This window comes from Homo sapiens, chromosome 1 (genome assembly GCF_000001405.40).
Source record: "Homo sapiens chromosome 1, GRCh38.p14 Primary Assembly".
Classification (NCBI taxonomy): Eukaryota; Metazoa; Chordata; class Mammalia; order Primates; family Hominidae; genus Homo; species Homo sapiens.
In genome coordinates this window covers 79,277,224-79,304,615 of record NC_000001.11, presented here as the reverse complement: position 1 = coordinate 79,304,615, position 27,392 = coordinate 79,277,224, and the positions used below count along the sequence as shown (strand labels likewise).

At 35.1% G+C, this 27,392-nt stretch overlaps 2 long non-coding RNA genes across 2 annotated transcripts in view; one reads left to right on the top strand and one right to left on the bottom strand.

Moving 5' to 3' along the window:
• Nucleotides 1-27,392, bottom strand: part of LOC105378810 (uncharacterized) — a 136,420-nt gene that overhangs the window by 99,632 nt on the left and 9,396 nt on the right. The gene's annotated exons all lie outside the window — the stretch shown is intronic.
• LOC105378812 (uncharacterized) lies at nt 17,888-26,254 on the top strand. The gene is made up of 3 exons (XR_947530.1): nt 17,888-18,052; nt 22,616-22,694; nt 26,178-26,254. It is a non-coding gene; the product is annotated as an uncharacterized LOC105378812 (long non-coding RNA).

The window sequence follows — 27,392 nt, the reverse complement described above, 5'->3', positions numbered from 1 at the left end:
CCTGAGTGACTATACCCCAAGGCAACTTTTGGGGCAAAAATATAAATGTGACAACTCTGTCTGTGACTGTCTAGTAGAAAAATAACACTGGAACCTAGTACCAGACTTGGTTGAAAAAATTGTAAAACTAGTTTTTTCTTCCCCTCCCCCAACAAATAGAATAGTTTTCTAAAGACCAAGTAACATTAACTTCTCTGCCAGATTCCTTGTCTATGAGCACACTTTGCTGTTTAGAATGATGACTGTATCTTACACGTTTATTGCATTTCACGATTTTCAAAAACTACATTTCTTCACCACACAATATTTTGCAATAGCATCATTTTACAAACAAAGGAACTGATTCTTTATGAGGTTAAATAATTTGCTTTAGGGTTTGTTGCTAATAAATTAACAAAGCTGGAACTTGAAAGTAACTGTTGAATCCAAGCTAGATTGAAGCTCTTTTTTTCTCCTCGGGGCCACACTGTTCAGAGTATAGCAGTCATTGTCCCTATGCTCTTATAGGACACCAGACTATTGCAAGAGCAAGTAATTACATCCATGTAAGAGCTAAAGTTCACAATAACCAGAATCATGAGGACAAGGGTCCCATAGTTTAAAAAAAAAAAAAGAGAGAGAGAGAGAGAGAAACAAGAGCAATAGAGGGTAATTTGGATCTGTTTTTCTCTTTATTTAATTTGTGTATTTGAGGAAGGTAGATGATAATTTAAGAGCCTATCTTCTTGCATCTCGCTCTCTCTATTTCTCTGTCTCTCTGTCTTTTCCAAGGAAAAATAAAAATATTTATCAAACAGTAAAGCAAAGACAATGTGTATCTGTATAGCTGGAGATTTTAAGAGAGTTTTAAAATCTTTAATATATTTTATATAGTCTTTACATGGTTTTAGAATTTATAAGGAACTAACTTTTCTGCCTTTTCTAGAAATAAGAGAATATAGGCTACTAATACCATAATCCTCTGATTCAACAAAGCCAGATAAATTGGTAAAGCTTTTATTCTCTCATCTCACTTAATGATTGTATTAAATCAATTACTAAGTCCCACCCACAATTACACTAAATTCTTTTCAAAACTCTTCAATCCAACCGTTCCTTTTTCACTATCTTACTTTCTTAAGACCCTTATTTTTTTCACTGAAAATATTAATTAAGAGCCTGCTATGTGCCAGACAAAGTTCTAGGCACTTTCAGACACATTACTGAACCAAGGAGAAGATTGATGCCTTAAACTCTAGCAAGGGAGAAAGACAATCGGATAATTTAAAGAATAAATTAAATAGTATGTTAGAGAATAACAAATGCTTTGGGAGGAAATGTAGAGCAGGACATAGAGGATTGTGAGCGCTAGGAAGAAATGGATGTTTGCAATTCAAATAGGGTAACCAGGAAAGCCCTCAGTGAAAGGGTGACACTTGAGCTAAGATTTAAAAGCAATAATTAACTCTGCATTTATGAGACAAAGATCCTAAGATGGGGCATATCTGGCATTTATGAGAATCAGCAAGGAGGCCAGTGAGGCTAGAATGAGGGAACCAGGGAAAGAGTAGTAAGAGACCAAAGCAGACAGGTGATGGGAGCTTGTACGTTATTGATTATAAAGACTTTGTCTTTTACTCTGAGCTATTTGAAGAATCATTGCAAGAGTTGAGCAGAGAAGTGACATGACCTGATTTGCTTTCCTGATTTTGTCTTTAAAAGAATAGCTCTGGCTGCTGTGTCATGATTATTCTATAAGAGGCAAAGATAGAGGCAAGAAAACAAGTGAAGATTTTATTACAGAAACCCAGAAATCTGCTTCTTGTTCTGTCTACGAAAATAAACTTTACTAAGTCTTAGTTTTTATGTCTTTCAGTCCATTCATCATCCTGACATCAGTTAATTCCTGAAATAAAAATCGGATCACGTGATGTGCTTATTTCAAAATTTCAGTGGTTGCCTGTTGCCCATAGATTTATGACCTACTTCTTCATACAAATCTCTTCAAAATCCAATCCCAATCTATTTTTTTCAGATTAATCTTCAACGCCCTTCCCCATACCTGAAGTATTTGCTTTAGTTATAAAAGGTTGTTTGCTATTTCCTGAACATGCCACATGCCATCAGGCCTCTGTGACTTTGTGCTTGTAATTCCACTGGTAAGAAAACACATTTTTTTTTTTTCCTGCCTGGTGAACTTTAAATTTTCGTATAGAGATTTAACTAAGTCATGATCAGTTCGGTGAAGACTTCTCTGGCTCTTTACTGCAAAGTTAACTCTTCCTTCATTATATTCTGTTGTCCTTTATACATGTCCCTCCTAGAGCACTTATTATATCAAAGTTACTTCTTCATCCACCTATCCCTGAAAAGATGATGAGCTTCATGAGGATAGACAATATGACCTGGCTGATTTTATACCCTATGCCTTGAGCTATACTGCATCACAGATTAGATATTGAATAATCAATATCTTTTGTTAAATGAATAAACAAAAATAATTTTAACATGAAGATCTTATGTTTAATAGTTGTTCAAACATAAATTGAAAATGTAAGCCCCTAAGAAATTTAGAGTGGTATAGTAGATAGGAAAATAGTTCTTATATTTATATTTGCTTTCAAGAAATATTTCTAAACCAAGTTTGATAAAAACTCATGACCCAGTCATGTGCTTTTGGAGAATTGTACCATTTCTGTCAAGCTCCAGTTCAAATGACATTCCATTTTGAAAGATTTTATTGTTAACTGGTCCGTGCTAATTAGTATGGCTACAAAGATAAAGAAGATTTTCTTCCCACAGAAACTTCATAAACAAAACGGTCAGTCATATACAAAACAACTACCTGGGTAAATGAGAGGTGACATTGGAAATCACTGGGGAAAGGACCCTTCAAAGTGGTTAGGAAAACCAGCTTTTTACATGGAAAAGAAATAAAAAGTTAGATAAACTCCTTACATATTAATAGCCTAAATGAGGAAGAAAATTCAAAACTTTCAGTGTCTGGGAGAGAGGAGAAAAAACATTCAACACTTTTATGAACACATCGACAGTTTGTTTTATGTTTTTTACCTCAGAATAGAAAGAATATTTAAAACAAGATATAGAAATATATTTTAAAAATTGTTAAACTTTACATGGGGATAATGAAAGTCAATCTAACAAAAAGATAGAAATAAATACCATAAACTAATTTAAAATACAAGAGACTAGAAGAAGATTATGACACACTTTTGACTAAAAATGATTCATATTTAGAAGATATGCAGCAGAGGTCATACAAATAAGAAAAAAACAAACATTCAAATAGGAAAAGATATAAGAAGACTGTATAGTCAATAATTGCATGTTACACTTAGAACTAGAAAACTCACTCTTTAATATAATAATAATGACAATAAAATAAGAAGAAGAATGATAAAAATCGGTGCTTTGAGTCTAGTTTATTTGTTTCTGTACAAAAAAAGTAAAGACTTAATCATAAAAACTATTAGAGCTAATAAATGAATTAGGTAAATTTGCAAAATACAAAACCAAAATACAAAGAAAAAGTGTTTCTATATAATAACAATATGCTATCCAAAAAACAAATTAAGAAACCAAATCAATTTTTATTAGCATCAAAGAGAATACAATACTAAGAATAAATTTAACCAAGGAGGTGAAAGGTCCATACACTAAGCACAATAAAACCTTGATGAGAGAAATTGAAGAAGTCTCAAATAAATGGAAAATGTTCAGGAATTACAAAATTAATATTTTTCTGGTACCTAAAATTATCTACATATTCAAAGCAATTCCTATTAAAACCTCAATGGCATTTTGCACAGAAATAGTAAAAACAACCCTAAAATTCATATGAAACCACAAAATATCTGGAATAGACAGAGCAATCTTGAGCAAGAAGAACAAAGCTGAAGGTATTGCACTACCTGACTTCAATATGCTACAAAGCCATAGTAAACAAAAGAGTATGGCACTGGCATAAAAATGGACATATAGACGAATGGAACAGAGAGCACAGAAATAAATTCATGCATTTCCAGCCAACTGATTTTCCACAAGGTTGTCATTAACACACAATCGGAGAAATGACAGTCTCTTCAATAAATGATGTTGAGAAAACTGAATATCCACATGCAAAAGAATGATACTGGACTCTATCTTATAACATATTTAAAAAACTACTCAAAATGGATTAAAAACTTAAATTTACAACCTGAAGCTGTAAAACTATTAGAATAAAGCACAGGGGAACAGCTTCTTGGCAATGCTTTGGGTAAACTGAATTTTTAGATATGACCCCAAAAGGATGGGTAGTGAAAGCAAAAATAGCCAAATGGGATTGCATGAAACTAAAAATTATTCTGTGCTCCAAGGAAATAATTAACAGAGAGAAGACACAACTTACCTAGGAGTGGAAAAAAATATTTATAAACCATACATCAAGTAAAAGTTTAAAATCCAAAGTATATAAGGAACTAAACTCAATAGCTAGGAAACAACCACATTGAAACTGAGCAAAGACCTGAATAGACACTTATTAATGGAAGACATACAAATTACCAACAGGTATATGAAAAAACACTAAGTGTCACTAATTATTAGGAAAATGAAAATCAAAACCACAATAAGATATATCACTTAATGTATGTTAAAATGGTTATCATCAAAAAACATTATAGCAAGTGTTGGCAAAGGTGCGGAGGTAAGGGAACCCTTGTACACTGTCAATGGGAATGTAAATTGGTATAGTCATTATGAAAAATAGTATGGAGGTTCCTCAAAATATTAAGAATAGAACTCCCACATGATCTAGAAATCTCATTTCTGAGTATATGCCAGAAAGAAATAAAATTAGTATGTCAGAGTAATATCTGCACTCCCATGTTCATTACAGTATTATTCATAATTGTCAAGATATGAAATTAAGTGTTCATCAGTGGATGAATGGATAAAGAAAATGTGGTGTCTATATAACATGAAATATTACTAATCCTTAAAAAAGAAGAAAATTCTGCCATTTGAGACAACACAGATGGATGTGGAGGACATTATGCAAAGCGAAATAGGCCAAGTACAGAACGACAGATACTACATGATCTCATCTACATGATGAATCTAAAAAAGCTGGACTCATAGAAACAGAGAGTAGAATGATGGTTGCCAGGGGGCAGGCAGAAGTGGAGTGGAAGAAATGGAGAGATGTTGGTCAAAGGGTTAAAAGTTTTGTTATGCAGTTTTGGAGATCTATACAGCATGCTGACTATAGTTAGTAATACTATTTTGTGAACTTGAAATTTGCTAGGAGAGTAGATCTCAAATTTTCTCATCACACACACAAAATGGTAACTATTTGAAGTAATGAATATGTTCATTGGCTGGATTGTGGTAATCATTTCACAATGTACACTTATAGCAAAACATGTATACTTTAAACATAAAATTTTTGTCTACTATATCTCAATAAAGCTGGAAAAAATAAAAATAATACAAATAAATCATCAACATACAAAATGTTGGCAAAAATGTGGAGCAACTGGAACTTTCACATGTTGCCTGTGGGAATGTAAGATAGATGGCACTCTACTTTGGAAAATAGTTTAGCAGAGTCTTAAAATACTAAACATATAACTAACATATGCTGCAGCCATTCCATTTCTAAAAGAGAAATGAAAACATATGTTCATACATATAAGTAAAGACTTATATACCAATGTTTAGAGAAGCTTTATTTACAATAGCCAACAGTGGAAATAGCCCAAATGTCTATCAACAGTTGAATAGATAACCAAAATATGCTATACCCATACAATGGGATACTACTCATCAGTAAAAAGCAATGAACTAATGATACATGCAACAACCCGAATAAGTCTCAAAATTTATTTCTTCCTTCCTTAAGGAAGGAAGACAGACCAAAAATAGAGTATCTACTATATAATTCCATTTATGTTAAGCTCTAGAACATGCAAAATAATCTATAATGATAAAAAAGAAGCTCAGGGTTTCCCTGCGGACACAGTGAAGGGAGTAATGGATTACAAAGAGTCAAGCGGAAACTTTTGGAGGCGGTAGAAATGTCATTATATTGATTGCATTCATGGTCTCACTGCATACACATATGTCAAAAGTTAACAAACTGTGCATTTTAAATACATGTGTTCTATTGTTTGTCAATTGTACATCAATAAAGTCATAAATTTTTTAAATAGTGAAATAATAAAAAAGGAAAAGAAATATCTTCAATGAATTATTGATATGATTGCTTCAGGAAAGAGATAGGGATTAGAACAAAAAGCATGAGGCATATTATTAAAATCTAAGTCAAAATTATTGTACTTATTTTTGTTAATAGTAAAACCCAAACTCTTTACAAAGGCCTAAAAAGTCATTCATGACTTGTATCATTTCTTTATTTCTCTATTCTTATTCACTATGTCTCCCTCCATTGCTGGACCACCTCTACTCTAGACACACTGTCCTCCTCCCTGGTCTCAAAATAGTCCCACCATAAGACCCTGTTACTGTTTTTTTGCTCTGCCTGGAACATTCTTCCCCCATTATTTACAAGACTCAGTCTCCTACTTCATGTGTCTACCATGACTCCCCAACCCCAGCTAAAACAGAAAACCCACTCCCACCCTGGAACCCTCAATCTCTTTCATCTGTACCTATATAACAGAATTTATATGTTTCTAAAATACTGTATAAATTGTTTTATTATACTTATTGCTTATTTTTTGTCTCCCTTCACTAGCGTGAAGTTCCAAGAGGGAAAAAAATTTTGTTTCTGTCATTCACCAATGTAGACTTAGCACCTAACACAGTACCCAGCATTTGTGGTGTTTAGTAATTATTTCTTGAAGGGCTTTAGTATATACATATTTCATATCTGCATGAAATATACATATATGAAATATAGGTATTATCTATATATACGTAATATGCTTTATTAAATGCTTAGAAAAAAATATATAGAATTCAAAATTATTCTGTATAGTCTGCATATTTGAAAGATTCTTTTTCTTTTTAAAAAATGTTTTAAAAAGTTGATAAAACAATCAATGAAAATATAACACATGGAAAGACTATAAATTATGTAAGATGAGATTGATTTGCTGTTGTTGGCACTTAAAGTACATATTACAAAAATAAATACCTGAAATTATATTTAATGAAATATTAAACTCTCAACCAGGTTTTACTAACATGAAAGTCTGGTTAGTTTTCCTTTCTACTGAATTCATGTATTACTTAGGCTGCATATTCTATTATGCAGCTTAAATGTATGAAGAATAAGAAATTATATACATTTCAACAAGAAAGAAGTTTGATTTTTGAACTTGGATATTTTCCCTCAATTTGATGACCTAACCAACCTTCTAAAATAAAAGCTTGGAGGAAAAGTAATTATTTTTTCTTTTCATTTACTTAAAATGAATTATTTGGATGAATATATACAGAACAGGTTCCAATTTAAAGTATAAATAAAGGACCTCTATGACATATATAACAGAATTCTTCCCAGATTACAATTATAACAAAAAGAGAAAAAGGGACTAATTTCAGAGTAAACTCAGTTTCCAGCAAGGTGATTTTTCTGAAAGTAGATTGTGCCCCAATTTACTTGCATGCACAGAAGTAGAACTACATGCATTTCCTTGTGGGGTATAATGCATGAAAATATAACTTTAAAAGTATGAGCCACATTATAGCCACCTCAGCGGGGAGTTTACTGGACTGGCTACATGCAGGGAATTTATGAAAAACGAGCTGAGAAAATTTGGTCCCACTATGAGTAAATTGGGAGGACAACTTGAAGAATGTAAATTCAAACAACCAATAAACCAGATGGCTCAGAGGGGAATTTAATTGTTATACATAAAATTTAATATGGAACAGGCACCGGCAAGGTAAGTTACTCTTTAAAACTCACACAGTGTAGCAGAAAAAACTCAGTGACTGGAAATCTCAGAGTATTTCTGCATTACAGATGGAAAATTTCCATTGTTCAACAGCCTGCTCACTAACTTAACAGACAAGCAGAAAGAAAAAAAAAGTTAGAAAATATCAATATGAAAATACTCTTATTTCCCAAAAATAAAGTTTAAAGCCACTATTTCATACCCAGGTTTCCTGGTATTTTATATTCGTGTGTTACTTCAATTCACTTTAATGACAGGTTAGGGACTATGCACGAAATTACCCTAAAAGAGAAAATAAAGCGATATTCAGATGATAATGGTAACTGTATTTTTTCCTCCTAAGTGTAATGTTGATTAAAATGTGGAAATGAAGAAATTAACAGGGCTGTGAAATTTGACTTTGTGAATGCTCAGCTCTCTGGAGGCAGTTGATCTCATACCATGGTTATGTCGCAATGCAATGGGAAAATACAAAATCCCACTGTTAAAGAAGTGCATGTTTGAGTTGTATTATCCCAGGGATATTTACAGAGGGTCAAAAAATGAGGTTTATCTACATTTTTGGCCTCAAATATCTCTGTGGAAGTGCTGGTCCCTGTAATCTGGGCCCAGTATTATGTGAGTCACAAGAAGTCATTTTGCTTAGATTTTCACAATTCTGTAAAGTATAAAAATAGTGCGCTCCCTGGACCTCAGATGCCCTGCTTCACATTTGGTGTTCCCGGGTTCTCATCCAAAGACAATCAATCATAGCATAAGAATAAAAATACTCAATCCCCATAGGGGAACGTCACTTAAATATAAGGGCTTTTGCTTCCTCTTCTGCCTCTCTTCCAACGACGTATCCTTCAAACACTCTTTCACCTAAGATTTCAGAGATCCATAGCTTGGGAGGAACTTCACACAAATTTACAAGATGTTTTTCTGGGCTAGGTGTTACTGCTTATGACTACAATGCAAGTCATTTTCTGAATATGAAGCTGATTGCATTGCATCTAACTTTGGTCTCCATGTTTATTCATAACAAATTTCTTACTCTGTTCCTCTTTCTTTCCACAAATATTTACTAAGTAGCTGCAACATGCCACATACTGTTCTCAACCCCTTGGGTCTCAGAAAGTGAGTTATACTGCTTCCATTCATTTTAAAGTATTTTAAAGAGATGGGTGAAGTGCATATCCACATGAACACAATTATCAAAATTTATGTTAATTAAAAGCCATTTACACATATTCTTTTTTTGTGTTCTGAATTCTACATGAGTTTTCAGAGATTATGAAAGTTGGAGCAATTTTTTTTTCTAAAGCAATAACATCAGAGCAAAGTGTTTTATGCAAGCTATTCAGTGTCAACTTGTTGGACAAGTCAACTCAGAGCCACCATCACATGGATGCACCTGCCTTGTCTTTGCAGGAGCTGCCTTAGCTAATTACTTAGCAGTAAGAATGCCAGCAGCTACCCAAGTTTTCAAAGAGGCATGGAGATAAAAATCCTACATTAATTCCTTCATTGTGCTTTTTAAGGAATTAGGAACGGGTTTCTTTGGGGCATGAAGCAAAGGAGCAGAATTCTTATTACTATGGCTCATCTTATAACAAAGTTAAGATTCATTTTCCTTAGAAAGAGCTGGAAGATAGTATAATCCGTATCTATTTTTTTCAAAACTGAAAATCATGAGGGATTTCTGATTCCATCAATTATTTTTAGAAATTTTTAAAATGTAGATGTTAAAGAAAATAATGTAACTAACATTTATGCTCCAATAATTTTTAGAAATTGTCAACCATTTTGCCAAATTTGCTTCAAGTATTATTTTAAGAAAAGGATACAGATAATTTTGAAGTATTAGAAGTGTTATTTGACTTACACTGTGTCATATCTTCTTGTCTGTTTTTACAGAGGCAGTCTTTATCATGATTTTTATCTCTATTTCAAATTTCCATATATCTATATATGTATGAATGAATAATGTCTATTATACTTACCACTTGTACAAATAGTATCACATAATATACCTTATGTATTATTCTAAAAGTTGCTATTCACATTGGTTTCCATGTATTTATGTTGTATATATGTAACATATACACACAAATGCATACACACATACCTTTATAGAGAGTCATCTATTTAGCTATCTAGAGAGTTTATTCTGGCCAGGCATGGTGGCACGCACTATAATCCCAGCACTTTGAGAGGCTGAGGTGAGTAGATCACTGGAGCTCAGGAATTTGAGACCAGCCTGGCAACATGGTGAAACCTTATCTCTACAAAAAATAAAAAAAATAGCTGAGTGTGGTGGCGTGTGGCTGTAGTCCCAGCTACTCAGGAGGCTGAGGTGGGAGGATTGCTTGATCCCTGGAGGTAGAGGCTGCTGTGAGCCACAGTCGTGCCACTGCACTCCGGTCTGGGTGATAGAGAGAGATACTATCTCCAAAAAACAAAAACAAGAAAGAGAATTAATTCTTTAAAGTTTTAACTTTTCCATTATGTAATTTTACTATTTTTAAATTTAATCCCCTGTTACTAGAAATAACTAGTTGGAAGTGTTGAACATGTTTCCTTGCCAATGTGTGTGAATTTCTCCAGAGTATTACTATACTCAGTAGTGGAAGCTTGTGTCATAGAGTATATACACATTCAAACTATTATTGTCCACAAAATCACCCCACAATGGCTGTACCAAATATAGTCACAACAGTGTTTCTCTTCTTTATCTGCTTTTGTTCATTCCAATTTCCTTTCCTGTAAGTTGCCTGATCATAAATTTAGCCCATTAGCTTGTTGCTTTTTTTGCCCGCTCAGATTTTCTCTACCATGACAGTTTCCTAGTGTTGAAGAGCTGCTTTTCCCAAACATCCTCAATATCTTACTGTTCCCATCCAATCTGACACACAACTTAGTCATATGTTATGTTGGCATAGCTATAGAACATTGTCAGGAAATGGCAACATAAGAGCTTCCTAATCTGTTATTACTATTAAACAAGCCTTTTTATCCTGGCACTATACAAGTACCATAAAGTCCATATTTCTGGACCAAACATTTTTTGGTTTGAGTTCACAGTGAAGGGAAATGCTAAACAGGGACTTGTAAATCAGTCTGATATGTGAAATTATTCTCCACACTACCAATAAAAAGTTTATGTTCCCCTCATCCTCCCATTTTATGGTATTTGCAGGCAAACTACAGAAAAAAAGGACAGAAAACTGAGGATTTATATAATGATCAGCCAAGAACTACATGAAGAAATAAAATATTCTTAGTTTATTGTGACAAAGAACTGAACAATTGGAACTATAAAATATGTTGATGAGGATTCGACAATTGAAATCTGAAATATGGACTGTTGTAGGTTGATTTTTCCCCCAAATAGTGGTAAATGCCTTAATTTTAGAAAGGAACATCTTATAGCAAACAAGCATGAGGTAAGACCAGTGTTGGACATAGCAGCAAAGCATAAGACCATTAAGAATTAAAATAAAAAGGAAATTAACTCAATTTCCCAGCAGAAACAATTGAGTTAGCCCTATCTAAGAAGCTCTTTAATTACTTAGAGATGTGGTAAGGTCAATAACTAACAAATCATTCTTAAGGCGTGCAAGAAAATAGCTATTTTATTTTCGATTGATATAATCTTGCTCTTAAGCTCCTAACCTGTTGAATGGTGATGGAAGGAATAAGGACTTATAACTGACAAGTGAGGATAGCCTTGACTTTTCAGGTTTAAGCCAGTAGATTCCACTTTCTAATGGGTAAAAGTTCAGTCTTTCAGAGTTTTTTCCTACTCCACACTAACCTATCCAAGGTGCCAGTCAGCATAAGAGACATCCTGTAGACATCGGCTGTGGAAGTTCAAGATCATGACCATTAGCCTTGGTTCATGGGCCTTGTATACCATGAGTTCTTCATCTGGACCAAAAGATGTTAATCTTCTGATCATTCTACACATCTTCTACATAGAAACCCGATGTGTGCAGGCTATGAAGAAACAAGACAACTACTCTTTGATCATTTGCTTCAAATACATATGTATTAGCAAATGCTTGTCATGCTAGATATGGTACCAAAACAATGTGATGTTATTGGAGAAGAGTTTTGGTTTTTTCCAGGTTCCTCCATCTTAATCTAGATATTTCTCTCACAGACCACCTTGAGGATTCTCTTTGAGGGAAAAATTATATATTAGCACCTGTTTTCTTTCATTAAAATTTTCTCTTGAAATTCTCTTGCATCCAACTCAGTCAAGTTTCTGCATTCTATTTTGGCAGGTGGAATTTCTAGTACATCATAACCTCGTTTCTCTACCTGGCATAGAATAAAACTGGCTATTCAAGCTTGACTCTATCAGAATTGGCTCTTGATATGTTAATGGAGCTTAAAGAATTTAGAAAATCCTCTTTTCTCTCAGTAATGCATAGCTTTCCAGAATAATTGTCTAACAAAGGACTCAGAAATTCATAGTGGCCTTAATGACTAATTTGACAGTCAAAATCTAGTAATGATTTCATCGCTTTAATTGGTATATCCATCTTTCCAAGATGTAAGCCTCTTGGCTTGCCCTTAAGAACAGGCTATAGGGGAAAATTATTCAGGAGAAATACAAAATAAATCTGGTAAATATTTTCCAAATATGCTGTAATAGATATATCAATTGACAATGAAAAACAAATTCCACTGAATAATATTTATTTTTTGTAAATAAACGCATGCTTATACTACTGAGTAAATGCTATATCATAATTTAATTTTAATATCCCTAATTGAATAGAGTAACGTCTTTGTAAAATTTTACTCCATTTTCTTATTATTGTAAAAGAGAGGTTACAGTCACAAAATACTGGTCCTACAGTGTCTTAAGTACACTTCAGCCATATAAAACTGCAGATTTTGATCTTCTTTTTAAAAAGTTGAGAATATTACATATATTCAGGCTTGCATTTCCTCATGGAACAATTAGCTGGAGTTGAGTAGTAGCTGGCAGCTCTCTACGGAATTATCCTCTTGATTTATTACTGTCTTCTCCACTTTCTATTTTCTTTCTGACACAATAGCGATCTTATTTATTAAGGATAACTGCATGGCCTCTGTAGGCAAGTGAGTCTCTAAACATATTTGAATTGTATACACAAGCCTAAGATAGGCGTATTTGGATTTGGTAGGCTCTGAAATACTATCACCATCAACAATCCAAAGCCCAGAGCGTACAAACTAATAAGCGACATCCTTTACTGGGTGCCACCTGTGGGCATGCTTATCCCACTCTTCTGGAAGTTACATTGGCATTTACATTTGCCTATAGCCTTGACTTAATTCTGGCGCTTCTCACATTTGTTGCCTTAAGACAGAACAAAGTATTTAACAGTGTCTGATCCCCCTACATCAACTGGAAGGTCAATAGGGCTTTCCAGTTAGTAAGGCTCCTGTGGATCTGGGGCGCTAGATAAAACAGAGAGTAATGGATGTGATGTACAGACAAAGAGAACAAATAACAAATGGAATCCAAGTAAAACAACGAAGGACAAAGTCATAAAAGTATGTGCACACAGGGATATTATAGAAATGAGATAAATCTGGGAAAGCCAAGAAGCCCTTGAAAGTCAGGAGAGAAGAGAGAACAGAAAGCAACAGGCTAGACCAGTTCTAGACGTGTGCTGGAAGACAAGGGGCTCGATTTTTATCTGCTGCAGGTAACTGGAGGCAAAGTGAGTCTGTGCAGAAGGCCCGCGATAGAATGAATTGAACTAGAACCTGAAATGTGGTTTGGCACTAAAATGAGACAGTTATAAAAACCTCCCTCTGACTTTATTTTCCAGATTGCAAAAACCTCTGGATTTGTGAGAGAATTCCAACAATAAAGGGAAGTAAAAAACCCTGCATAGTAGCATAGAAAGGCAATAAAATTAAAACGTTTAAGGTGTATAATATTAAAATTTGAATAACTAAATCTATGTCAAATTATAGATTTTTCTACATAAAAGCAATAGTGTACTATGTGGGTGTGCCTTTTATTCAATAAGTATTTTCTGAGAACTTAGATTGTGTTAAATATAAAGGGGGAAAAGGGTCATTAAAGGCATAGAAAAAGTTTGTCCTCTTAACAAGTTTAGAATCACTCCATTGGAAACCAGATATATATTCTGATAGGGATATTTGAAACTTGCAGTAGCAATTTACCATTATTACAGCCTTCTTTTTAAGTGCCAAGTACTGTGTTGGATACTATAGTGAATTATCTTTTCTAATCTTCAAGGTAAGTAAACAAGATATTATTACATCCATTAAGCAAATAAGTGAACTGAAAAGTTTTTTTACCCTGGACTACCTTGATAGCTTTCCCAAAGCTCATTTCCATATGAACCATACCTTTCTCGAGTACACTCTTCAAGCTATTTTCTAATTCATATTTCTAAACCATATCTCTGATTTTGTCACTTTTATTACTCCCTATGGAAAAATTTAAACCTCTTAGGCTACCTTTCAAGGTACTACAAGATCTTTTTTTATACCATCAATAATTATCACCTCTTTCTTCCCTTTAAAAACTCTAAGTTTCAATCTACTCCAGCATTCTCTTCTGCCCAAACAGCTTGAACTTCTAGTAATTATGCATTTGCTCCACTTTTATCCACTCAGAGAGCTTCTCCCATTTTTTTCTTAATAACCAAAGATTATACATTTTTCAAGTAAAGGAAAAAATGAAATAATAATTTTCATAAAATCTTTCTCTTAATTCCCCTAGTTTTAAATAATTTATCTTTAGCATGGACACTTATCTCTGCCATGAACTCTTCTATAACTTAAACCATTCTACTTTTGTGGTATGGTGTGGCCAAGAATGTAGGTATTTAGTAATTAATTGGTTTTGTGGCTGTAAGATGTATAGGGAGAGAGAGACATTGAAAAATAAAAGATGCTGAGAGGGCACCTAGAAAGTAGGCATTGGAATTCTAGGGAAAGTCTGGTAAGAAATGATCAAGACCACATATTTATCTTTGAATTTAATGTTACCATACCCTTTGGGATGTCCCAGGATGACCCTGCACTAGGCCTGAACACAGGTAACAGCAACAGAGCCCTTAAAATAAAACCATCATGCAGTTCCTGAGCTTTACCTAGAAGCTACACTGGTGAAAAAGATATGTATGGTAGTTCTGAATTTGTAAGAGGCCAGGCTTACTTTCTGGTAAGGTGAATATGTAAGTGAATATAAAAAGATATAATGTTGGAAGTACAGGCACAAATTTGAAAATTTAGGTTTAAACACCCTGAGATAGCATAGGCACTGATTTCTTTTTACTTTGCAACTTGAAGAAGTTCTGCAGCAAGGACAGAGGCAGCAATCAGAACAGATAGCTGGAGAGGAGGAAACATATCCTTTTCCTTCCACTCTTCCAGATTCTTGGCTGGGTCTCCTTGTCAAAAGACAGATTAACAAAAGGAAAGCATTTAATATAAGTTTTATGTGACTTGATGCCTTCATTAGCAAATGAAGATCCAAAGAAATGGTTAAACTGAGCATTTTATACTACATTTGATGGCGAATGGAAAGATATGGAAAAGTATAAGAGAAAAGGGTACAAGCTAAGTGTATTAAACTAAAGGGCGGTTAGCGAGGCTTGTTTGTTAGGATTCCTGTCGGTGTCCCTCTGTCTTTGAGAATAAAAATTTTCCTTTCTGCCAGGTATTTGGGGAGCACCTCTCATATGAGGGACATATGACCTGCTTCAGGGTAAGGTCAGGGTCTTTCCTGCCCCTGCCTATTCTCAAACTCCTTCAGCTTAAAATATTTAGTATGCCAAGGTGCCGCATTTTGGAATAGGGTGTCCTGAGACCTGTCATAGCTCAATTCCATCTACTTTGCAATGGCATCGTGCAATAGTCAAGCAATGGAAAGCAAAGACCCTCTTTGTGCATGGAAGCTGTGTTAAAACTATGAGTGTTCGGTGTTGGTGAAGGACAGGTTTTTTTCTTTTTTTTTTCCTTTTTTTTTTTTTTAAAAAAAACAGAGATTGTAGAGACTTTCTAACCTCAAGAAGGTACACCCTAGTTTTATATTCAGCAGAGTTAGAGATAGCAAGAAATGGCCCCTGGGACATGATAAGACACCTGCAAACTTCTTAAATCTCAAGGGAAAGAGATCCAAAGAAAAGGAATTGGACTTTACATTTTTAATATATGCAGATATATGCTTGATTGACAAAGTACATGAAATGGCATCTGGCTTTCCCAAGAGTCTCCATTTTTTGCCCCTCAGTGTTGGTAGAGTGTAAAAATGGCCCCAAATTCTTTCCCTAATTACATTTATGACCTTATAATGTTACATTGCAGTTTCTTCAAGAGACAAATCTGGTTGATATTTAACATGTGTTAGCCAGTCGGACATTAGCAAATGTAACACAAACAGAGGATAGAAAGGTGCTTAAGCATTCCTCTGTTCTCTCTCTTATTTTCTTGGAACACTACAGAATATGAGAAAGCCTGAGCTAGCCAGTTGGAGGACACAACATCATGTGGAAAAGAACTGAGGCCCCAGGCTAAAGCAAACAGCAGACATGTGAATAATCCCAGATCTAAATCAACCGAATCTAGTGCAAAATTGTCAATTCCTGGAAATGTGAGCCAAGCACACAATTGTTGTGAAGCACTAAGTTTTGGGGTGACTTATTACACAACAAAAGCCATTTGATATGGAGTTTTTTGAAAATAAACATTCAACCCATGCAATCATTTATGCACATACCTCATCTCCACTTTCAGACATTAAGGGCTTTCAGCAAGTTTCATATCTTACCATATAATTTTTCCATTAAAACAAGCACAGTGATTTGCAACAGAGAGTAGAATTTCAGGATTCAAAATCTGTGGTTCAGATAAATGTTGTCTGAGGAGACAGGGGACAGAAATTAGTATAGGCTCAAGCTGAAATGAGCAGATTAGGCTCTATATCTGACTCTGGCGATACTCCAGAAGTATTTTACATCTATCTTAGTCTACACAAATGAAGCTCCTTCTGATAACAGATGTCCAGTAAACTTTTCAAGATTACTCACATAGCCTACCTGCTACATGTCCTAAAGAACTCTAAGAAGGGTAATTTCTTCTCACGTGAAAGGGCATTTCTTCTCAGATGGCATAGAAAACACATGAATCCTGCCAATGCTGCTGCTCTTAACGTCATTTTATAACCGAAACGGAGTTACGCATAGGAGCTGTTCCATTACTTGGCCCGTGAGCTGTCAGTACCCTGAGGTATTACATACCTATGTGTTCTCTTTATTGCCTGAACAAAACAGTAAAGTCACTTGAAATTCTCCTCCTGTTTGGCCTACGAGGAAGAGAATTGACAGAAGAAAGCAGAGTTTGTCAAAATAAACTGAGGATTGCTGACCTAGTTCCTTCATTAAGATAACATCCCTTCAGCATTTCTCTTAGTTGGCAGAGCAAACATATGTGCACGTGCACACACAGCCATACATGTGTTATGGTATTACTGGTCTGCATGTCTTCTTATCTGTTTTACTTTATTTTTTCTCTTAACATAATGTAAGCTTACAAGTTGTTTAGATACTACCACCTCTAGCAATTACAGAAGAGATGTTTTATATACTTTGAATTTATGTTATACTAACATGCATGCTGTTTTGGGGAAAACAATCAGCTGGGTTGCAAAAAAATGGCATGATGGTCGTTTTCTAAAATGTATGACTTAAATTATTATTAATAACAACACGACAAGATAATTAACACCCTGCACAGCATTTTCCATTTTAAGAGTACTTTAGGAATATAAATTGTATAACCTCTTCAACACCCCACTTTACAACTAGAAAAATCAAAGCAGAGGTTAAGTGATTTCTCAAAAGTAAAAATACCCAGCATAAAATTCAGCAACCTGCCCCTGATGTTTCTGCCTTAACCTTAGACCAATGAGTGATCTCTCTTTCCCCTTCTTATCTAGGATCAAGAAAACTGAGCATGGCATTAATGTAATACTCTACTGCCAGACATGATAATAGTCAATAGCCCACCTACTGAATTATATTCAGAAAGCACTTTCTGAAAAGAGAGAAAACTTAATGAAAAAAATCAGCCAGAAAGATAACTAATTAAAATTGGAGATTTCTCCATTCCATCTTTAATTTGTAAGTACAAAATAAACTCTGAACATATTTGTTAGTGGCAGAATCTATTGTCCTCCCAACTCAGTGAAAGAGAAAACACTAATTAGTCAATAAAGTTAGGATGGGAGGAAGAGGATGCAGGTAAGGACAATACAGAAGCTTCAGAAGTCACAAATATGACTATAGGCCAATTGATATGCTAAGCTAACAAAATTTCTCAGGTGATGTCATTCTGCAGAAAGGTACTGAGTTAACAATATTTGCAATCTATTTATCTATTACGTCTTTCTTTTCATACTACCTGATGCCAGTTATTCTGTTCCATAGAGTTGGCAATACAGCAATTTTGACTAATATCTAGCTTTTTATGCAAAGACGTAGCTCTAGTTCTTGGGAACAAGTATGTTGAATTAGTCCTATTTTTTGATAATAAAGATAACGTAAGCCTATGTAGTGGTGAAGTCATTTTTGCCATATTGTACACATGCAACACATAAAAGCAAACTGCAGCCTTTTTACATTTTGATTAAGAATTCTTTCTAAAAGCCACCATGTCACCATTAAGATATCAACAGAAAAATATATTTCAAACATAGAAAAAGAGATGCAATTAAATTCAGTGAATTAGAATAGCTTCAGTGGCAAGATGTGGAAACGATGAGGTTCAAACAAAGTAGATCAGATGATAGAAACAATGTTAACACTAGGAATTATATTAATTAGTGCTGACCTCGTGAAAATTGTGCTATCATTTGTAAATAATGCAGCTTTATATGATTAGGGAGTTGCTATTATAACAAAAAACTCTTAGTGTCTTTACTAATTTAATTAAAATCATAGGAAATATATATTCAGCTCTTCAGAATTTCATTATCTTGAATCTTTAGGAGTTGCAATCACTGAGAGATATCAATATTAATTTGAATTGAATATATAGACCATGCTGTTGCTAGCCCTCTGCTAGATTAAATGTCCTAGATGATTCTCCTCATGGAGACTGGAAAGAGCATGAAAAAAAAATGCACAGAATCCAGAATTAATATGAACACAGGAAGTCAGAGGACTTCAAATAAACCCTAGATGACTTCGGTTTCCCCTTTGACAGCTTTAAGGTAACTGGGACAGAAGATAAAGCCTTGAGCCCATTGAAGGTGAAAAGTCCTATAGAAAACCACCTCATAAATCTGAGAACCAAAAGGGATATCTTGTCGATATAAACAAGAAGTAGACACACCATTCAGAGTGGAAATTCAGTAACAATGGTCTTTACTGGTAGGAAAAAATAGTCTACTCTAAAAATTTGTAACCAAAATTCAGACCGCATCTGGGTTTGTATTTGAAATTCATGAAAATGTTGTGATCTGGAAAACCTCTAAATGGTTCCCGATGAAATCTAACATAGTATTAAAACACACACACAAGCACACATATACACACATTGTAAACAATATGGGTTTATTTCAAAACCAAAGACAATTTTGCATTTAAAATGATAAATATAATTTACCATTCTGATAAATTATGATAGGCAAACCATCTCGATAGTTGTAGAAATAGTGTCCAATAAAATTAACATTCACTCCTGAGAAAACTATCAGCAAATCAGTAGGAAAATACTTCCTTAAAGGTGTAAATATAATTTGTGTCAAAGCCATCATCAGGGGTCAGTAGGGAAAGGATAGATTATGAAAACTTGGCACTGAGAAAGCTGGCTTTTTAATTTTTTTTATTTTTTTATTTTTATTTGAGATGGAGTTTCGCACTTGTTGCCCAGGCTGGAGTGCAATGGCACGATCTCAGTTCACTGCAACGTCTGACTCCCAGGTTCAAGTGATTCTCCTGCCTCAGCCTCCCAAGTAGCTGGGATTACAGGCATGTGCCACCACGCCCAGCTAATTTTGTATTTTTAGTAGAGACGGGGTTTCTCCATGTTGGTCAGGCTGCTCTGGAACTCCCAACCTCAGGTGATCCGCCCGCCTCAGCCTCCCAAAGTGCTGGAATTACAGGCATGAGCCACCGCGCCCGGCTGAAAGCTAGCTTTTTATCTGAAAAACTTTAAATTGGATTCCCACTTCAGAAAATACATAATTTCAGGTGAATTGAAGAACGAAATGTAAAAGGCAAAGCAATAAACTTTTATTAAAACTCTATAAAGTAGAATATTTTAATATGTATAATAAAACAAATTTTTTTAGGAAGATATAACACTCACATCATGAAGAAAATTTGAAAAACTAGGATATTATAAAATTAAGGAATTGTTATAATCTAAAGTTCCCATGAAAGCATAAGCACTTCCCAGGAGAAGACATTTCTAACACATGCATATAACAGTAAACTATGTATCAATAAGAAAATTATAAAGAGCCCTTTAGAAAAATTAGCAAAAGACAAAAAAGTTTTTCTTAGAAGATAAACACATGACTCATATTACATGAAAATACTCTCAATATTATTATCAGAAAAATTCAAATTAAAAATTTTAAATCATATATATTGAATGACAGTCAACAATTAAAAGGTTGAATATATCATGTTAGAGAGTACATAGAGTCATGGGAATGCTCAAGCACAGTTGGTAGAAATTTCAAAGCGTTAAATCATTTTCAAAAAGATTTTGACACTACTTAGTAAATTTGTTTTATTTTGTTTAGTTTTTGAGACAGAGTCTTGCTCTGTTGCCCAGGCTGGAGTGCAGTGGCACGATCTTGGACCACTGCAACCTCTGCCTCCCAGGTTCAAGCGATTCTCCTGCCTCAGCCTCTGGAGTAGCTGGGATTACAGGCACGCGCCACCACGCCCGGCTGATTTTTTTTGTATTTTTTTTTTAGTAGGGACTGGGTTTTACTACGTTGGCCAGGCTGGTTTCAAACTCCTGACCTCAGGGGATCCACACCCCTCGGCCTCCCACAATGCTGGGATTACAGGCATGAATCACCGCGCCCGGCCTCTACTTAGTATTTGAAAATGTGCTTGCCTTATACTTCAAGCAGTCCACTCTTGCAAAAACACCATTGAGAAACACTTGAGTACATGCAGTAATAAACAGGTTTTTAAAAAGTGAATAGGATCATTATTTGTAACAGTAAATATTCCAACCCAAATGCCAATCAACAGCAGAATGGACACATATTTGTAATACATTAATATACTGGGAAACTACGCAGCTGGGAAAATGAATCAATTACAGTAACTAGCAAGTTAGAGGAATTTCACATACTTAATTCTGAGTTAAAGAAGTCACAGAAAAATGCATATGACATGGTTTATTTCATTTAAATTTCAAAAAAATACATAAAATGAAACTAAATAGACATGTAAAACTTTAGACAAAAGGAGATGATTAATAAAATGTGAATGTTTTTAGTTACTTCTAGGGAGAAAGGTGGATGATAATATTGGGGAGAGGCACTCAGAGGGCTTCCAAGATGCTGAGAAACTACTTTTTTAAACTGGGAGAGATGATGATTAGATGGAGAGATAGAGAGAAAGAGATTGGAGAATTTCATTCTGCTACTATTTTTTAAATCTGTACCTATATCTTTTGGGTATAGAACATTTTAAACAAACAAAAGTACATATTAGACTTAAGTCCATTAACCTGACATCTGTTAAGCACATTGGCTTTGAAGCTAGACAAATTTGGACACAGTTCTGGGTCAATCACTTACCACTTCTGTGATTTGGGGAAAGTTTATTTAACCTATCAAATCCTCTCTTCTTTTATCTGTGAAATAGAATAAAAGTATCTATTTCATAGATATGTAAAGTTTAAGTAAGGTAGTGAATGTAAAGTACTCAGCACAGCACCTGCCAAAATAGTACTCATGATTAGATGCTGGTTATTACCATCATCTCCATCCTACATGGAATAATTAAAACATATAAACTCATGGTAGAGTGAGACAGAAAAAGATTCTAAAATCATACTACCCCTATTATCTCAGAGAGTTTGTATTGTCTCTGGTTCTCAGTCTTCTCATCTTTAAAATGGAGATAAGAATACTTAGCTCAATTGGTAAGATGAGGACTATTTGAAATCATCTATATAAACTACCCAGCAGAATGCCTGATACATGCTCAGTTTTCAGCAAGGCATAATTCCTATGTTAGCAGTATATTGCTGTTGTCAATAAAGCATCTTAATAGTGGCTTTGTAACATTTCAATTTAACTAGGCTGAATTTCATTTCCTAAAAATCCCTTTCATAGTTTGCTTTTGGTAAACATGGGTCACAAGAGAGATTCTTGTGGGAGATCTTGTGGGAAGGTGAAAGTGAAGTTGCGATCATTTTGTAGCACACACACACTGCTCACCATAGTGTAAGCCAGAGACCAGACCTCCAGCTGTTTCATCTTCCTCTAGATCTTCCTATAGCTCTTCTCAATTCTGGGCCAGGTGTATTTTTAGCTTCATAAGAAGGAGCCCAGAATCTGCAGGACAGCCATACCCTCAAGATCAGAGGCAACAAGACTGATATGAGGTTTAATCCATGCCAAGACAACTTGTGCTTGTGGGCTCTAGCTTGCTCTTGCACTTCTCCGTTTTACATTCATCTTTCCTTTTCTGTTGCCTGCCCTGTAGTCTTCAAGTACCAACAGCATCAGATGCACAGATGACAGCTTTACAGAAACTGCTTAGCCAGCTCCTACAATTGTGTAAGGTAAAATCCTTGTAACAGAATCCTTTCTGTGTGTGTATGTGTGCATGTGTATGTATGCATGTGTGTGTATACTTATATATATGTATGTATGCATGTGCATATGTATACATATGCATACGTACATACATACAGTAACATATGCATACATTTACTTATAAGTAGGACAATTACAATACATAACGTGTTTGTGTGTATATATATCTTAGTACTCTTACTTCTCCAATTGACTCCTGACTGATTTATATGTTAGCCTCACAATCTGTGAATAATTGTTTTTGCTGACATAGTAATAACTTCTTTATTTTAGACTTTAAAAATAAGATTCAGTCCGTGTTGGTAAAAAGCTATACAGAAGAGGCGCACAAAAATTTTGAGTAAAGATGTAGTTCAGGTGGGGTAGAATGAGCACTATTCCACCAACTCTGTAACGAAGAGGGCACATAGAGGTTTGGATGAGAATTTAAACTACAAGCGTTTATATTGTTAATCATCCCAGAAGTGTTCAGTAATATCATATTTGAGCCTCCCTCTTACACTGGGAAACACTTGGGACACAATCATGATCAGAAGAGGGATTTCACTACAGCTACCACCATCATTTGCCTCCCTTAGTGATGTTCCCTGTGCTCACCCTCAGCCATTTTCCCCTGGAAAACCAGGAATGGGAAGACAGAAATTTTTGGAAATCTAATTTGTCTTTCATCCTGAAGACAAGTGATCTGTGTCTCAAAGTTGCCTTCTTCTTCTATGTTCGGCATAAATGGAATTTGAAAAAAATCTAGTGACATGGTATGAATCATATGAGTTAAAATATCATCAGTTATTTGTCATGGCATGGTATTTATTATGACATTTTAGACCTGGACAAAGTAATAAAACTAATTTGATCCCTTAACTCTTCATGTTACAAATGGGGAAACTATGGTTTAAAAAGATTACTGTCAAATTTGCCAAAGCCACCTAAGTATTTAGTGGCAAGTTTCTAAGGAGAATTAAGTTCTTGTGCAAACAGATGTCCAATGAGGTTTTTTTCTTCCCTAGAGGTTTAAAGCAATTCTGGAAGAACTAAACTTTTCAAATTTCTTTATAGAATATGACCGACAAATAATGCTATAGAGCTTCACATTTATTTTCCTGTCCTGAAGTAGGTAACATTGGCCTTGAAAATTGTATTGCATACCAACAGCTTTCAAGATGGAGAGGAGAAGCCTGGAAAATTTTAAATAACCTTGATGCTACTTATTTTACAGAGCATACAGTCCCATTGATAATCATTGCCATGTTTCTGGTGGTTAACCTGTGAACGCTGGCAGGAAATCAATGTGACCTCTTGTTTGGTTCCCATGCTTCAGAGACTCTCCCCCTTGATGGCTGAAGATTTAAGAGCATCAATAAGTGCTTTTTTACTCTCTGAATATGTTCCTTTTTTATGACATGAATCAAAATATTTTTGCTGTTTAGGAATATTTCTCACTCTTTTTAGATTTTAAACTTAATTGGGAAGGTGTTAATGAGGCCGTGGTTAGAAATATCATTCCCATCTGGGATGGGACAATCTTTCACAACTAAAAACTGAATTTTAAACTTCGTCAAGTCACATAAAAAATAAGTATCTCAGCCGGGCACGGTGGCTCATGCCTGTAACCGCAGCACTTTGGGAGGCCAAGGTGGGCGGATCATGAGGTCAGGAGTTCAAGACTAGCTTGGCCAAAATGGTGAAACCCCGTCTCTATTAAAAATACTAAAATTAGCCAGGAGTGGTGGTGCCCACCTGCAGTCCCAGCTACTCAGGAGGCTGAGGCAGGAGAATCACTTGAACCTTGGAGGAGGAGGTTGCAGTGAGCCAAGATCTCATCACTGCACTCCAGAGTGAGATTCCATCAAACAAAAAGAAAGAGAGAGAGAGAGAGGGAAAGAAATAAAGAAAGAAAGAAAGAAAGAAAGAAAGAAAGAAAGAAAGAAAGAAAGAAAGAAAGAAAGAGAAAAAGAAAGAGAAAGAAAGAAAGAAAGAAAGAAAGGAAAGAAAAGTATCTCTGAAATACATTTAAGGATGGTGGCTTGGAGTAAATTCATTCTCCCCTTTGAAAACAAATATGCACTCTTTCTCATGCCTCACCACAGCTTTCTTACCTTCCCTCCTCCTCCACCCCATCACAGTAGACTCACAGGACACACACACTCCCTAGTTATCTAACCACATGGTCAGGGAAAAATAATTGAGTTTAGTGCCAGGTAGGTAGTGTTGGTTGTAACTGTTGGTCAGAGAAGAACTTTGATGCTGGATAGAATGGAATTTAAGTCCTTATTCATAAATCTACAAGCTTTGTGACCACAGCAAGTTACTTAAATTAAGCATGAGTTTCTTTATGTTTAGAATGGGAATAATAATACTACTTAATTCACAGAGTTGCAGTGAGAGTCAAACAAGGTAGTGCGTATAATGTACATAGCAGAATGCCTTACATATTCTAGCCAATAAATATTTGTTTAATAACATGTTTTGAAAAATAACTAATATCTAGTTCAGCATTCAAACTCCCATTTCCTTAGTGGCTTTTCTTGAATTATTTTTTATTTTTGTCAATTGATAGATTAACTTTTAGGTTTGCCTATTTCGTCAATTGATAGATTAACTTGCAGGTTTGCCTAAGAGATGATTTTGAGATTTTTCAAAGAATACTTTTAAAACAACAACAACAAAAACAAAACAAAACTTCTTCGGCTGGATATTTTATCTGCCTGATTTCTTTATTTATGAAATAAAGACTTGAGGGTAAATTATTTTTAATTCGCTTCATGGAGTCAAATTATCTTTTTCTATTATTATATGACTTGTTCCTCACCTGCTCCAGACTCATTACTTTGTCTTAACCAATAAGATGGTACAGGAAAGACACTCTAGGATAAGCAGAATGCATGTTGTTGGTAGGAGAAATGGAGATACTGAATATAAGAGAAATAGAGCTATAAATGTGTTAGCGTCCTGCGGTTAAAGAGAACCTAGAATTGCAAGATGAGAACTCAGAAAGAAAATGGTCTTTCTAAGCAGGAAATCTAGGATTATTAAAGTAACCAATCAATCAACCTCAGGAAAGGCAAAGTGGAGGAAGTAGAATGAGCTTAGATTTCAGCCTTTGTTTTCTTCATAAAATAGGAGGCAAAGTGTTTTTGATGGAATTTGAAAAACAGGATGAGAAGTTACAGAAGATCTCAAAGAGTTTTGTGGAAAATAATCTACAATACAGACAAGTATAGTGCAAAAGTGGGAAGGAACTAAGGTCAGAGAAGCTGAATTTGGGCTGGACCTCATCAGAGCTCTTTTGGAATACAAAGTTTAGAAACCTAAACAGGAACAGGAAAGTTTTTAGAGTTTTCAGAGTTGAGAATCCCTGTGGTGTGAGTAACAAAGGGTAAATGTGGTAAGAGACTTAGGATCTGGGTTCAGGCACACAGACATCCTAATAGAAATTGTTTATGTTTCAGGGATTTATTCAGCTTGGAGCTTAGCTGATTCAACCTCATATATGTCATGACAACATGGATGCTCAATTGGAGAATACCCTCTCAATGAGAATCAGTTTTCATTTCTGTTATATCAATATACACTGAAAGAAACCCAAGTCAAATCATTACAGTTGTACTGTCTTACTGTTTTCATCCTATTTTGAAGTATGCTATTATTTTTACATTGGAGTGTATATGTGTGCTCGTATAACTATCTACTTTAGTTTGCTAAGGCTGCCCTAAAAAAAGTACAACAAATTGGGTAGCTTAAGAAAGAGAAATGTATTTTCTCTTGTAAACCAAAACATATCTGAGACAGGTTTCAATTAGCTTAGAAGTTTGTTTTGCCAGGGTTAAGGACATGCCTGTGACACAGCTCCAGAGGGTCCTGAGAACACATGCCCAAGGTGGTCATGCCACAGCTTGGTTTTCAGGGAGACATAAGGCATCAATCAATACATGTAAGATGTACAGATGTACACTGGTTTGGTCTGGAAAGACAGGTCAATTTGAAGGGGCAGGGGAAAGCTGGGGAGTTCCAGGTCATAGGTGGTTGCAAAGATTTTCTGATTGGCAATTGGTTGAAAGAGTTTATCTAAAGATCTGGAATTGGCCAGGTGCAGTGGCTCACACTTGTAATCCCAACACTTTGGGAGGCCGAGGCAGGTGGGTTACTTGAGGTCAGGAGTTCAAGACCAGCCTGGCCAACATGGTGAAACCCTGTCTCTACCAAAAATACAAAAATCAGCTGGGTGTGGTGGCATGCACCTGTAATCCTGACTACTTGGGAGGCTGAGGCAGGAGAATCGGATTGAACCTGGGAGGCAGAGGTTGCAGTAAGCCGAGATCATGCCACTGCACTCCAGCCTGGGTGATAAGTGAGACTCTGTCTCAAAAAACAGAAACAAAACAAAACAGATCTGGAATCAATAGAAGGGAGTGTCTGGGTTAAGACAAAAGATTGTGGAGATCAGGATTTTTATTATGCAGATGAAGCAAGTCTCCAAGTAGCAGGCTTCAGACAGAATATATTGTAAATATTTCTTATCAGACTTATAAAGGTGCCAGACTCTTAGTTAATTCTCTCCTGGATCAGGGAAAAAACCTGGAAAGGGAAGGGAAAAGGGAAGAGACACCTCTGCAGGATCATTTCAAAATATGTCAAATAAATATATTTTGGGGTAAAATACTTTG